The sequence below is a fragment of the Homo sapiens genome, chromosome 19 (genome assembly GCF_000001405.40).
Source record: "Homo sapiens chromosome 19, GRCh38.p14 Primary Assembly".
Classification (NCBI taxonomy): Eukaryota; Metazoa; Chordata; class Mammalia; order Primates; family Hominidae; genus Homo; species Homo sapiens.
In genome coordinates this window covers 19,561,091-19,575,110 of record NC_000019.10, presented here as the reverse complement: position 1 = coordinate 19,575,110, position 14,020 = coordinate 19,561,091, and the positions used below count along the sequence as shown (strand labels likewise).

The 14,020-nt window shown below is 53.2% G+C and overlaps 1 protein-coding gene across 8 annotated transcripts in view; it reads left to right on the top strand.

Moving 5' to 3' along the window:
- PBX4 (PBX homeobox 4) overlaps positions 1-13,398 on the top strand; it is a 56,975-nt gene extending 43,577 nt beyond the window's left edge. For 3 of the 8 annotated variants that reach the window (XM_047439471.1, NM_025245.3, XM_011528320.4), the window contains 6 exons: positions 4,278-4,525; positions 4,812-5,002; positions 5,527-5,662; positions 10,022-10,178; positions 11,496-11,602; positions 12,994-13,398. In XM_047439471.1, coding sequence (XP_047295427.1) covers positions 4,343-4,525; positions 4,812-5,002; positions 5,527-5,662; positions 10,022-10,178; positions 11,496-11,602; positions 12,994-13,086 — 867 coding nt within the window. In that variant the 5' untranslated portion in view covers positions 4,278-4,342 and the 3' untranslated portion in view covers positions 13,087-13,398. Of the gene's footprint in view, positions 1-4,239; positions 4,526-4,693; positions 5,013-5,526; positions 5,663-10,021; positions 10,179-11,495; positions 11,603-12,993 lie in introns of those variants that run through there. The other 5 variants (XM_006722911.4, XM_011528322.2, NR_038198.2 and 2 more) reach the window with 4 other exon arrangements.
- Positions 13,399-14,020: the final 622 nt, after the last annotated feature.

Genomic DNA, 14,020 nt, shown 5'->3' with positions numbered 1-14,020 from the left:
CACCCGCCACCACGCCTGGCTAATTATTTTTTTTGTATTTTTATTAGAGACGGGGTTTCACCGTGTTAGCCAGGATGGTGGAGCTTCTTGAAGATAAAGTAAGATTGTTAGAAAATTGAGTCTCCAGGCTGGGCGTGGTGGCTCACGCCTGTAATCCCAGCACTTTGGGAGGCCGAGGTGGGAGGATCACCTGAAGTTAGGAGTTCGAGACCAGCCTGTTCAACATGGTGAAACCCCGTCTCTACTAAAAATACAAACGTTGTAATCAATAAACGATTGAATTCTCTTGAAACAAACAAAAAACAAAAATTAGCCAGGCGTGGTGGCGCATGCTTGTAATCCCAGCTACTCGGGAGGCTGAGGTAGGAGAATCGCTTGAACCCAGAAGGTGGAGGCTGCAGTGAGCTGAGATCCCACCACTGCACTTGAGCCTGGGCGACAGAGAGAGACTCTGTCTTTAAAAAAAAAAAAGGAAAAAAAAAGGAAAATTGGGCCACCAAACTGGAAGGCTGTCTGCCAGCTAATAAAAGGGACACTTTTCCTTCAGCCATCTCAGAAAGAGCCTCGGTGCAGCCCAAAGAGACTGAGTGAGCCGGTGAGGAGGGTCCTTGAGTGTGAGGTGGTGGGAACCTTCAGTTCAGCCTGGCACTCAGGGAGAGGGGGTGTTTTCTGAAGCTCTGAGGCCAAGGGCCACAGTGGCCACGGGCTGCAGGGAGCTGGCACCAAGTATAGCCTGTAGTGTCTGCTTAAATAAGTATGTGGAGGCAGAGGAGGGCGTCTATGAAGAGACAGGGCCAAGCTTGAGTGATATGCACAAAAGCAGTTTGAGGAATACCCACTCTGATATAGTTCAGCCTCCCAAGGGGATGTATCCTGATGCCCTCATTCCTGGTGATGATTTTTCATAGACTTGGTGGTAGAAATTTTAGAAACAGGCCAGGTGCGGTGGCTCACGCTTATAATCCCAGCACTTTGGGAGGCCGAGGCGGGTGGATCGCTTGAGCTCAGGAGTTCGAGACTAGCCTGGGCAACATGGTGAAACCCCGTATCTCCTAAAAATACAAAAATTATCTGGGTGTGAGGCTGGGTGTGGTGACTCACGCCTGTAATCCCAGCACATTGGGAGGCCAAGGTGGGTGGATCACTTGAGGTCAGGAATTCGAGATTAGCCTGGCCAACATGGTGAAACCCTGTTTCTACTAAAAATACAAAAATTAGCCAGGCATGGTGGCGAGCGCCTGTAATCCCAGCTACTCAGGAGACTGAGGCAGAAGAATTGCTTGAACCCAGGAGGCAGAGGTTGCAGTGAGCCAAGATTGTGCTATTGCACTCCAGCCTGGGACACAGAGCAAGACTCCATCTCAGAAAAAAAAACAAAAAAAGGAAAATAGAGTTGCTGGCGGCTTTATTTTATGGTTCTATCATAATTTACTTAACCAATCTCATGTATTAGCTATTTTGGCTGTTTCTATTATAGTTTATGTTCTTATTATCAAATTAGACAAATTTATGTCTAATTTGCATGACTAATTTGTGCCATGGACATTCGCTGCCTGGGTACTGGAGACTTGTGGTTAAGTCTCTGCATGTCTGCAACTTTGTGCCGCCATCTATTCTACCTTGAAAGTTTAACAGGGTGTGTGGATTCTTCTTGAAATCTTCCCACTTTTCTCATATTGCTTTTTCCAATTTTAATTGAGTAAGAAACAGTTTTGGAGAAGGTGGGACACTATCCTATATGTGTGTGTGTGTGTGTGTGTGTGTGTGTGTGTGTGTGTGTATATTTTTTTTTTTTCTTTTTTTTGGAGATGGAGTTTCGCTCTTGTTGCCCAGGCTGGAGTACAGTGGCGTGATCTCGGCTCACCGCAACCTCCACCTCCCGGATTCAAGCGATTCTCCTGCCTCAGCCTCCCAAGTAGCTAGGATTACAGGCATGTGCCATCATGCCCGGCTAATTTTGTATTTTTAGTAGAGATGGGGTTTCTCTGTGTTAGTCAGGCTGGTCTCGAACCCCTGACCTCAGGTGATCCACCCACCTTGGCCTCCCAAAGTGCTGGGATTACAGGCGTGAGCCACTGCGCCTGGCCAACACTATCCTGTATTAAGCACCAGGTTTGTGGTCAGTCCTTGGATCTGGTTGCTAATTTTTTTTGTCTCTTGTTCAAAATCCTGGTTTATAAAATTTGTTGCATGTGTGCTTAATAAACTAGCACTAAGTGTTGAAGTGGAAATCTCTTTTTTTTTTTTTTTTTTTTTGAGACGGAGTCTCGCCCTTGTCACCCAGCCTGGAGTGCAATGGCGTGATCTCGGCTCACTGCAACCTCCGTCTCCCGGGTTCAAGCAATTCTCCTGCCTCAGCCTCCCAAGTAGCTGGAATTACAGACACTCGACACCATGCCCGGCTAATTAGTAGAGATGGCGTTTCTCCACGTTGGCTGGGCTGGTCTCGAACTCCCGACCTCAGGTGATCCGCCCACCTTGGCCTCCCAAAGTGCTGGGATTACAGGCGTGAGCCACTGCGCCCAGCCTGAAGTGGAAATCTCTAAGGAAAATTCTTACAAGGATATCGCTTGAGTTCCTTCAGTTTTGACTAGTGAGTTTTTGACAGAAAAGGTTCATCTGTTATGTAGGGAATAAGAAAGGGACACTTGTAAATGACTATATGATATAATCAAACGGAATTGTCATCTGAGCACTAATTCGGTAAGTAGCTGACCTTATTAAGATAGCCTGATTCTGGCCCGGTACGGTGGGTCATGCCTGTAATCCCAGCACTTTAAGAGGCCAAGGCAGGCGGATCATGAGGTCAGGAGTTCGAGACCAGCCTGGCCAACATAGTGAAACCTTGTCTCTACTAAAAATACAAAAATTAGCCAGGCATGGCGGCACGCATGTGTAGTCCCAGCTACTCGGGAGGCTGAGGCAGGAGAATCACTGGAACCTGGGAGACAGAGGTTGCAGTGAGTGGAGACCATGCCATTGCACCCCAGCCTAGGTGACAGAATGAGATTCCATCTCAAAAAAAAAAAAAAAAAAAAAAGCCTGATTCTAAGAGAACACTTTTTTTTTTTTTTTTTTTTGAGACGGGGTCTCTCTATCCCCCCAGCTGGAGTGCAGTGGCAAGATCTCAGCTCACTGCATCCTCTGCCTCCCAGGTTCAAGTGATTCTCCTGCCTCAGCCTCCCTAGTAGCTGGGATTACAGGCAGGCGCCACCACGCTTGGCTAATTTTTGTATTTTTAGTAGAGACGGGGTTTCACCATGTTGGCCAGGCTGATCTCGAACTCCTGACCTCAAGTGATCCGCCCGCCTCAGCCTTCTAAAGTGCTAGGATTACAGGCGTGAGCCACTGTGCCCGGCCGTGAAGCCACCTTTTCACTCAGCCCCACCTGCACAAGCTGCAGCTCCAGGCTTTTTACTTGGGAGAATGCGATGCCATTGGCTGTGCTGCCCATGGCAGAATCTGGGAATGACCCTGGAGTCTTCCCTTCTCTGACACCCGTGTCCCAGGACACGAATCCTGGGGGTTCTCTGACTGCCCTGTAGCTGACCTGCAGACCCCACAGCTGTGTATACCTTGATGGTGGCTGCCCTTTGACTGCTTCCCCTGCAGTCCAGCCCTGCCCCTATCCAGGTCCCCTCTCTGCAGAGCTGGGACGGCATTTCCAAATTGTAGGGCCCATTATCTTGTTTCTCTGCTTAAAATCTTTCAGTGGGTTATTTCATCTTTTCTGGCACTTTCTTTATCAGGCTTTTCCTATCCAGTTTTATAACAGCACCCCCACCCCAACACACACACACCCCACCCACCAGCCACAACAGGCCTACAGCTGCACAGTCCTGGGCCCAGGCCAGCCACGCTGCCAATGCCAGCCTGCCACTTGCCTTTATCAGTATGCAGCATCTTGGGTGCCCCCTCTTCCCCAGCACTTCTTGAGACTCGGTTCAGGGGTTCAGGTGACCCCAGCAACAGGCGCCTGCCTGGCCCTGCTGCGTGCACACAGCTGTGACCAAGGTTTGCCCTCACAGGCTATGCCAAACTGCGACCTGTGTCTCCCCGTTCCTCCCCAGACTGCGCTCTAAGGATGGCACTTGGACCCATGTCTTAGCGGGGTGCTCAGTGTCCATCATCCAATTTGGTGATAAAGTGGAGTATTCCTTTCTCCCGAAGGGTTCTATGCAAAAATCTTCAGACATAACACCAGTGCTCACATTTTCTCATGGTTTGTTTTCTCTCCAGAAAATGAATTGTGACTTGTCCCGGTCTCTCTTATCTAGTGGTAAGCATCCGTGGCATTCAAGACGAAGATCCCCCTGACGCCCAGCTCCTGAGGCTGGATAACATGCTGCTGGCTGAGGGCGTGTGCAGGCCCGAGAAGAGAGGAAGAGGAGGAGCGGTGGCCAGGGCCGGCACAGCAACACCAGGTGGCTGTCCAAATGACAATAGCATTGAGCACTCTGACTACAGGGCCAAGCTGTCCCAGATCCGACAGATTTACCACTCTGAGCTAGAGAAATATGAACAGGTGATCTTTCTGCATGGAAGAGTTTCTGTCATGTGAATGCGCATTTGTCAAAGCGAAACACGGAACGCTAACCACCTTTCTTTCGTGGCGCAGAACAGGGAGTCCATGCAGTTGGTCGCTGCAGAGGTGGTCCATTGTTACTGAAAGCCCTTTCCATTTACTTAACAGTCACCCGCCGGTGTGTGAACTACAGGGGGTGGCAGGCGGCTGCTCCGCTGTGGAACCTGCTGCCCTGTGCCACCCTGCTGCCTAGTCACAGGCCGGCGTGTCTGTGCTCCCACCCCAGGCCTGTCGTGAGTTCACCACGCACGTCACCAACCTCCTCCAGGAGCAGAGCAGGATGAGGCCTGTCTCCCCTAAGGAGATTGAGCGCATGGTCGGCGCCATTCACGGCAAGTTCAGCGCCATCCAGATGCAGTTGAAGCAGAGCACCTGTGAGGCAGTGATGACCCTGCGTTCGCGGCTGCTCGATGCCAGGTCAGGGCCTGTACGTACCCAAAACCTCAAGGGCCGGCTCTGAGGGACTGGAGGGAAATAGTGCTGGCTTGGGTTGAAGACAGCCCTGGAGGCTGTGTCTGCAGTCACGGTTGGAGGCCTCACAGCCTCTTGGGAAGAAGGCCTGAAGTATTGCTGTTTTCATTTTTATTTTATTTTGTATTTATTTATTTATTTATTTGAGACGGAGTCTCACTCTGGTGCCCAGGCTGGAGTGCAGTGGTGCGATCTCCACTCACCACAACCTCCGCCTCCCAGGTTCAAGCGATTCTACTGCTTCAGCCTCCCGAGTAGCTGGGATTACAGGCTCCCGCCACCATGCCCAGCTAATTTTTGTGTTTTTAGTAGAAACGGGGTTTCACTATGTTGACCACGCTGGTCTCGAACTCCTGACCTCAAGTGATTGCTGTTTTCAGAACTACTGGAAAATCATACTCAGAACTAGAGGTGGGGGTGGTACTGGAGTCCCAGCATATTAATGCCTACGAAGGCGGCTGTTTTTGCAGGCGCAAGCGGCGGAATTTCAGCAAGCAGGCGACGGAAGTGCTGAATGAGTATTTTTACTCCCATCTGAACAACCCTTACCCCAGCGAAGAAGCCAAAGAAGAGCTGGCCAGGAAGGGCGGCCTCACCATCTCCCAGGTGACGTTCTCTCCTGCCACGTCTCGCCACGCCTGGGAGGAGTGGATGACTAGGTCCCATGAGGACACCCAGGGAAGTTTGTTAAATGTGTGCAGAGGCCAGGCATGGCTGCTGGAATCCCAGCACTTTGGGAGGATGAGGTAGGAGGGTCGCTTGAGGCCAGGAGTTCGAGACCAGCCTGGGCAACATAGTGAGACACTGTCTCTACAAAAAATTTAAAAAATTAGCTGGGCTTGGTGGTGTGCACCTGTGGTCTCAGCTCCTTCGGATGCTGAGGTGGAAGGATCACTTGAGCCCAGGAGGGTGAGGCTGCAGTGAGCTATGATGGCGCCACTGCATTCCAGCCTGGGTGACAGAGTGAGATCCTATCTCTGAAAAACAAAAAAAGTGTGGAACAGGAGCCAAGTCTCCAGGCTCTGAGTCAGCCAGGCCAGCTCAGATCCAGGCTCTGCATTACAAATGTGGGACTCCAGCGCTCTCCCCGTTCATCTGTGAGGCAGGGGTGCAAGTGTACCCACAGAGAGACCTGAGGACTTCCTGAGCGATGCAGATGGAATGCGAGGTCCCAGAGGTGATGCTGTGGAGTGTGAGCTCCCTGAGGGACACAGACGGAGTGTGAGCTCCCTGAGGGTTACAGACAGAGTGTGAACTCCCTGAGGGATACAGACAGAGTATGAGCTCCCTGAGGGATACAGATGGAGTGTGAGCTCCCTGAGGGATACAGACAGAGTGTGAGCTCCCTGAGGGTTACAGACAGAGTATGAGCTCCCTGAGGGATACAGACGGAGTGTGAGCTTCCTGAGGGATACAGATGGAGTGTGAGCTCCTTGAGGGATACAGATGGAGTGTGAGTTCCCTGAGGGATACAGATGGAGTGTGAGCTCCTTGAGGGATACAGATGGAGTGTGAGTTCCCTGAGGGATACAGATGGAGTGTGAGCTCCTTGAGGGATACAGATGGAGTGTGAGTTCCCTGAGGTGACTGAGGTGGAGTGTGAGCTCCCTGAGGGATACAGATGGAGTGTGAGCTCCCTGAGGGATACAGATGGAGTGTGAGCTCCCTGAGGGATACTGATAGAGTGTGAGCTCCCTGAGGGATACAGATGGAGTGTGAGCTCCCTGAGGGATACTGATAGAGTGTGAGCTCCCTGAGGGATACAGATGGAGTGTGAGCTCCCTGAGGGTTACAGATGGAGTGTGAGCTCCCTGAGGGATACAGATGGAGTGTGAGCTCCCTGAGGGATACTGGTAGAGTGTGAGCTCCCTGAGGGATACAGATGGAGTGTGAGCTCCCTGAGGGTTACAGATGGAGTGTGAGCTCCCTGAGGGATACAGATGGAGTGTGAGCTCCCTGAGGGTTACAGATAGAGTGTGAGCTCCCTGAGGGATACTGATGGAATGTGAGCTCCCTGAGGGATAAAGATGGAGTGTGAGTTCCCTGAGGTGATTGAGGTGGAGTGTGAGCTCCCTGAGGGACAGAGATGGAGTGTGAGCTCCCTGAGAGATACAGATGGAGTGTGAGCTGCCTGAGGGATACAGGTGGGGTGTGAGCTCCCTGAGGGATACAGATGGAGTGTGAGCTCCCTGAGGTGATTGAGATGGAGTGTGAGTTCCCTGGGGGATGCTGTGGAGTGTGAGCCCCCTGAGGTGACGTGGTAGAGAGTGTGAGCTCCCTGACTCTATAGCCTGGTAGGCAGCCACCAGTGTCCTCTGTGGAACTGGGGGTGAAAGAGGGAGACACTAAGACCAAGAGGCTAAGAAATATTTCCGAAGGTTTTAACATGGAAACAGTAAGTCCAGGCAGCCTATGGCAGCAAGCCAGGTCCAGGCCATACCCCCGTGGCAGCATGAGTGTGTGGAACAGGGCCTGGGTGCCGCCCTCCCACCTGGGCAGGCACAGCCCCACAGCCTCTATGGCAGCAGGAATGGCAGGTGCTGACCCACAGCATGGCTTGCTGCATGTCACCACAGCCCTCCCTACTTTGCAGTTGGAGGGGCTGAGTTTCTAGTCCTTCACCACCATGCTCTGCTCCAACCCAGGCTAAGTCCAGTCAAGTCTCTGTGACAGAGAGCAATTGGAACCCCTCGGGGTCACGCAGGCAGCAAAACATCCTGAGGTCATAGTCACATATGACTTTGCTCATCGGGATCTGCTGTGGTGTCAGAAACAAGGCCAGAGCTGGAGCAAGGGGCTGCGCCTCTGGGTCTTCAAGGCCCCTGGAGAAGCGTGAGACATTTGGCCCCCAAGGAACAATTGTCTGGAGGACAACCAGGGCTGCTTCAACCAGGATGGAGCCTCTGGGGCCTCCCATGTGGATCAAGAGAAGGCTGCTCACACCCCCGGGGTAGGCAGACACTATGTTTGGAACAGAGAGCACACAGACAGGGATCCTTCTTTTTATACTTAACATTGCAAGGATAATGTAAGTACACCAAATGTTGGCCAGGCATGGTGGCTCATGCCTGAAATCCCAGCACTTTGGAGGCCAAGGCGGACGAATCACCTGAGGTCAGGAGTTCGAGACCAGCCTGGCCAACATGGTGAAACCCCGTGGCTACTGGAAATACAAAAATTAGCCAGGCTTGGTGGCACATGCCTGCAATCCCGCTACTGGGGAGGCTGAGGCAGGAGAATCATTTGAACCAGGGAGGCGGAGGTTGCAGTGAGTTGAGGTCGCACCACTGCACTCCACACTCCAGCCTGGGTGACAGAGTGAGACTCCGTCTCCGAAAAAAAAAAAAAAAAAAAGTACAAAAATTAGCCAGGCTTGGTAGCACGTGCCTGTAGTCCCAGCTACTGGTGAGGCTGAGGCAAGAGAATCACTTGAATCTGGGAGGCAGAGGTTGCAGTGAGCTGAGATCGCACCGCTGCACTCCAGCCTGGGTGACAGAGTGAGAAAAAAATGTTTGAAGTAGCAAAGGTCATCCACAATCCTCTTCCATCCCTCAGCTGTTTCATTTCTGTGTGTTATTATACTATACGTTTATTTTACTTGCTTTGGGATACTGAAATGTGGCCCTGGATGGACGTCTCCATGCCTGTAGGAAGGCGCTGGCCCTGGGGTGCTCACCCATGTGAATCTGCCCAGGGGACATTTTTGTTGTCACGACTAGAGAAGGGAAGTGCTCCTGGCACCCAGTGGGTGCCAAGGATACCGCTCAGCACCCTGCAGTGTACAGGACAGCCCCCACAGAGCAGATGGAGCCCAAGCATCAGCAGTGCCACCAAAGGTGACAAGCCCCTCCCTGGGGGACTCCAGTGCCAGTTTGCAGTCAGAGCTGGGCTGATTCCACCTTGGCCATGGACTAGCTCCTTTTTCTCCTGCCTCTGCTTTCTTACAGCAGGGACGATAACAGCTGCCTCCCAGGTCCTCATGAGGATGAGGCAGAATGATATATGAGGCTGGGCCTGGAATCCCAGCATTTTGGGAGGCCAGGGCGGGAGGAACTCTCAAGCCCAGGGGTTTGAGACCAGCCTGGGCAACAGAGCGAGACCCTATCTCTAAAAAAAAAGAAAAAATATATTTTTTTTTCTGAGACAGGGTCTCACTCTGTTGCCCAGGCTAAATTGCAGTGCGATCTTGGCTCACTGCAACCTCTGCCTCCCAGGTTCAAGTGATTCTCCTGCCTCAGCCTCCCGAGTAGCTGGGATTACAGGCATGTGCCACTGTGTCCAGCTAATATTTGTATTATTAGTAGAGATGGGGTTTCTCCATGTTGTCCAGGCTGGTCTCGAACTCCTGACCTCAGATGATCCCCCCACCTCAGCCTCCCAAAGTGCTGAGATTACAGGCGTGAGCCACCACGCCCGGCCAAAAAACCTTTTTTTAATTAAAATTAAGAAAAATATATGAATATATGAGAAGTGCTTATCCTAGCACCTGGTACATTCCAACTACCCCTTCAGAGTTCACCTTGTTTTCATTTGATAAGTTTGGGATTCGATCGCAGTTACTGGGTCCCCAGGTCTCCCTGGCTCTCACTTTTCCTGAAGAGAACACGGAACGTAACCTGCCGCCTGCTGCATGGCAGCCAGAGGCGCTGTCCCTCCCGGCCCACCTCAGACAGTCTTGTTTTCCTTCCAGCCCCTTCCCAGGTTCAGGTTCCAGCAACATCCAGTTTTAGGCAGCAGAGTTCTAAGACACGCCAGCTCCAGGGTGTCCTCAACCCATGTGGACATCTCCCTGGGTCCGTGGTTCAGAGGGCGCCACCTTCTCAGTCCCAGACTCTTCATAGCCCCAGGGTGCAGTGTTGTCTTCTAAGGCAGTGGGAGCAACGGGCACCCCAGGGAACCCACAGACTGCGTCGTGTCTCAGAAGTCGCTGGGTCAGCTCCTCCAGTGACTCCTGTGTGTCCGCAGGTCTCTAACTGGTTTGGCAACAAAAGAATCCGGTATAAAAAGAACATGGGGAAGTTTCAAGAAGAGGCTACCATTTACACGGGTAAAACGGCTGTGGATACCACGGAAGTTGGGGTCCCAGGGAACCACGCCAGCTGCCTGTCAACACCTAGCTCCGGTGAGTGAGGCTGGCCCAGGGACAGTCATCTGTACCCATGTGGACGGCCACTGAGCTGCATCTGGGGAGGCCACAGTGGGACCACATCTCCCTTCCCCCAGTGGTCAACTCTGTGTAACTCTTTCTTCTGTTTCAACTGTGAGAGTTCTGTTCCTCTTGGCCATGATCCCAACCAACAGATACCTGTGCTTTGGGGACAGAATGGCGATACTAATAAGAAAAGACATGAAAGGTCTGGGTGCGGTGGCTCACACCTGTAATCCCAGCATTTTGGGAGGCCAAGATGAGTGGATCACCTGAGGTCAGGAGTTTGAGACCAGCCTGGCCAACATGGTGAAACCCTGTCTCTACTGAAAATACAAAAAAAATTAGCCCGGCATGGGCTGGGTGCAGTGCCTCACACCTGTAATCCCAGGCCGAGGCGGGCGGATCACGAGGTCAGGAGATAGAGACCATCCTGGCTAACACAGTGAAACCCCATCTCCACTAAAAATACAATTCACAATAGCAAAGACTTGGAACCAACCCAAATGTCCAACAATGATAGACTGGATTAAGAAAATGTGGCACATATACACCATGGAATACTATGCAGCCATAAAAAATGATGAGTTCATGTCCTTTGTAGGGACATGGATGAAACTGGAAATCATCATTCTCAGTAAACTATCGCAAGAACAAAAAACCAAACACCGCATATTCTCACTCATAGGTGGGAATTGAACAATGAGAACACATGGACACAGGAAGGGGAATATCACACTCTGGGGACTGTTGTGGGGTGGGGGGAGGGGGGAGGGATAGCATTGGGAGATATACCTAATGCTAGATGACGAGTTAGTGGGTGCAGCACACCAGCATGGCACATGTATACATACGTAACAAACCTGCACATTGTGCACATGTACCCTAAAACTTAAAGTATAATAATAATAAAAAAAAAGAAAGAAAAAACAAATTATCTGGGCGTGGTGGTGGGCGCCTGTAGTCCCAGCTACTTGGGAGGCTGAGGCAGGAGAATGGTGTGAACCTGGGAGGCAGAGCTTGCAGTGAGCCAAGATCGTGCCACTGCACTCAAGCCTGGGTGACAGAGCGAGACTGTCTTAAAAAGAAAAAAAAAAGACAAGCCATGAGGGGACATGAGTAGTGTGGTGGGGAGGGCCCGCTGGCCTGCCTGGGTGGGGGCTGAGGAGCAGAGGCCGGATGCTGAGGAGGGGCAGGAGCCACATTCGAGGCCTCCTGCCGGCTGAGGGGCTGGGTGGGTTCCACCTGAGGAGGCGCCACGACTCTGCCCACCCCGGCTCCCATCTCTTCCAGGCTCCTCTGGACCCTTCCCGCTGCCCAGCGCTGGGGACGCCTTCCTCACCCTGCGGACTCTGGCCTCTCTCCAGCCTCCTCCTGGGGGAGGCTGCCTGCAGTCCCAGGTGAGTCTCAGGCACTGTCCCACAGCGCCCAGGTGGGTGGTAGGTTCTCAGAAAGGGTCGTCTTGTCAGCCACCCCTCGGCCTTGGGGCAGCTTCCCCAGAGGTCCCAGCAGCCACACAGGCCATGCTGCGCGGCCACCTCTGGGGCACAGCTCTGCAGGGCCCCACTCTGTAATGACTGTGCCCTCCCCCACCTCCACTTGTCACCACGGCAGCCGCTGGGAACAGTCAGTGGGGATGAACCCCAAGATGAGGGCTTTGGCTGTGGAGGGGAAGGGCACCTCCTAGAGGACTGTGGGAGGACATGGTGTCCTTCCCTCGAGAGGGAGGGGCAGGCAGCCAGCAGAGGAGGCCGGAGGAGAGATGGGGCCTTCCCTCGGGCTCAGACCTCAGTGCCGCAGCTTGGCTGGGAAGGCAGCGAGTGGGGACCGTCTTGAAGACACTGAGGAGGCCCAGGTGTCATGTGCCCAGCACAGGCACGAGGCTGTGTGTGTGGTGTGTGCCAGGGCACTGCAGAGCCGGGTGCCCCTCCCAACTCACCACTCTCTCCCAGGGGTTCAGAGAACGGATGCCTCCTGTGCTGTCTGTGGGGTCCCACCTGGTCCTGGGAAGCACACGTCCCACACTGTCCTGCTGTGGCAGCTGCCCCCCATCACCATGCAGCCCCCAGCCAGGGACACACGTGAGGGGCCTCACCTTGCCCTTTGCACCCCTGGGACCTGACTACGCGCCAGCAGCTGTGTGTCCACCCCAGTTCAGAGCAGAGTGCCCCCAGGTGGTGCACCCGTCTGAGCTGCTCCCACACTCACGGGCAGAGCAGTCCCAGCCACTTCCTTAACCTGTACCGTGCCCACCATAGTGGGGGTGGGTCCTGTGGACAAACGTCTTAGCGCCGTTGGACGTGATGCCGTCTCTGCACTGCAGACAGAGCCCCCACCCCTTATGACAAGTGGTTGCCTCCCACCCTCCTTGCTGCCCAGCCAGGCCAGTGTTGGGCCAGGTTTCAGAGCCCCTTTTTCCCACCGAGTCTCACCATGACGCTCCGGGCGTCATCATGGGCTCCAGGCCTGACCTTGCCTCCCTGCCCCTCGCCGGGCAGGAGCCCTTGTTGTACCCGATGCCAGTCAGTCCTTTGCCTAAGCCCCAGGGAAGCCACTAGAGGCCAGTTTTCCTGCCGGGGAAGCTCGTCCATGTCCCATGTCAGGTGGCAAGGCCAGCTGTGACCCAGGACCGACCCCTCCATCCCTTCCCTCCTCCACTGAGCTGGAGGTCATCTGTGGATCTTTTCCAAGCCTTCCCAGGGACCCCTGGAGGCTCCGCCTGCAGCACGTGGGCTGGGTAGTCACCAGTCTCACGGCCACCCACTCTGATGCTCAGTCTCTGTCGTTTCAGGCCCAGGGTAGCTGGCAGGGGGCCACCCCCCAACCTGCAACTGCCTCACCTGCTGGAGACCCTGGCAGCATCAACTCCAGTACATCTAATTAAGTTTGGGGGATAAGCAGGAAAGAGCGCTGCGTGAGCTGCCATGTATCGCCAGCCGTTGCTTTGTTACTGAACGTGCCGCCGACGACCTCAGAAAACCCAGATGGGTGGTGGTGCCCATGAGCCCCTGCTCCTCAGCCAGGCCCGTGGCGCCGGCTCATGTGTCTGCTGCGACTCGAGATGGCCTGAAACGCCACTCATTCTCCCACTTCAGTTCGTTTTTTTGACAGTAATTTTATGGTAACGCTATGAATTGAATTGTCTGTTCTAGGACTGGGCACAGATTTTCCCATTAAAATTTTTGACTTATTTTAATTCCGATGTCTGTTTGCCAGATTTGTTTTGGGTGGTAGTTGACACCGGTCACAGCTGCAGTGTCATGTGTGCTGTGATTTTGCCACTCACCTGCGCCGCTCAGGCACAGACTCCCAACACTGTCTTCTGTGGGACCGTATCATTCTGTTCTGATTTTAAAATGTCCTGGCTGGGAGCAGTGGCTCATGCCTGTAATCCCAGCACATTGAGAGGTCGAGGTAGGAGGATTGCTTGAGCCTAGGAGTTTGAGACCCGTCTGGGCAACATAGTGAGACCTCGTCTCTACAAAAAAATTCTGCTTTCAGATTTTTTTTTTTTTTGGGGGACAGATTCTCGCTCTGTCACCCATGCTGGAGTGCAGTGGTGTGATCTCGGCTCACCACAACCTCTGCCTCCCAGGTTCAAGCGATTCTTCCGCCTTAGCCTCCCAAGTAGCTGGGATTACAGGTGCCTGCCGCTATGCCCAGCTAATTTTTTGTATTTTTGGTAGAGATGGGGTTTCACAATGTTAGCCAGGCTGGTCTTGAACTCCTGAGCTCAAGTGATCTGCCCGCCTCAGCCTCCCAAAGTGCTGGGATTATAGGCTTGAGCCACCGTGCCCGACCGCCCCCCACCCCAAAAT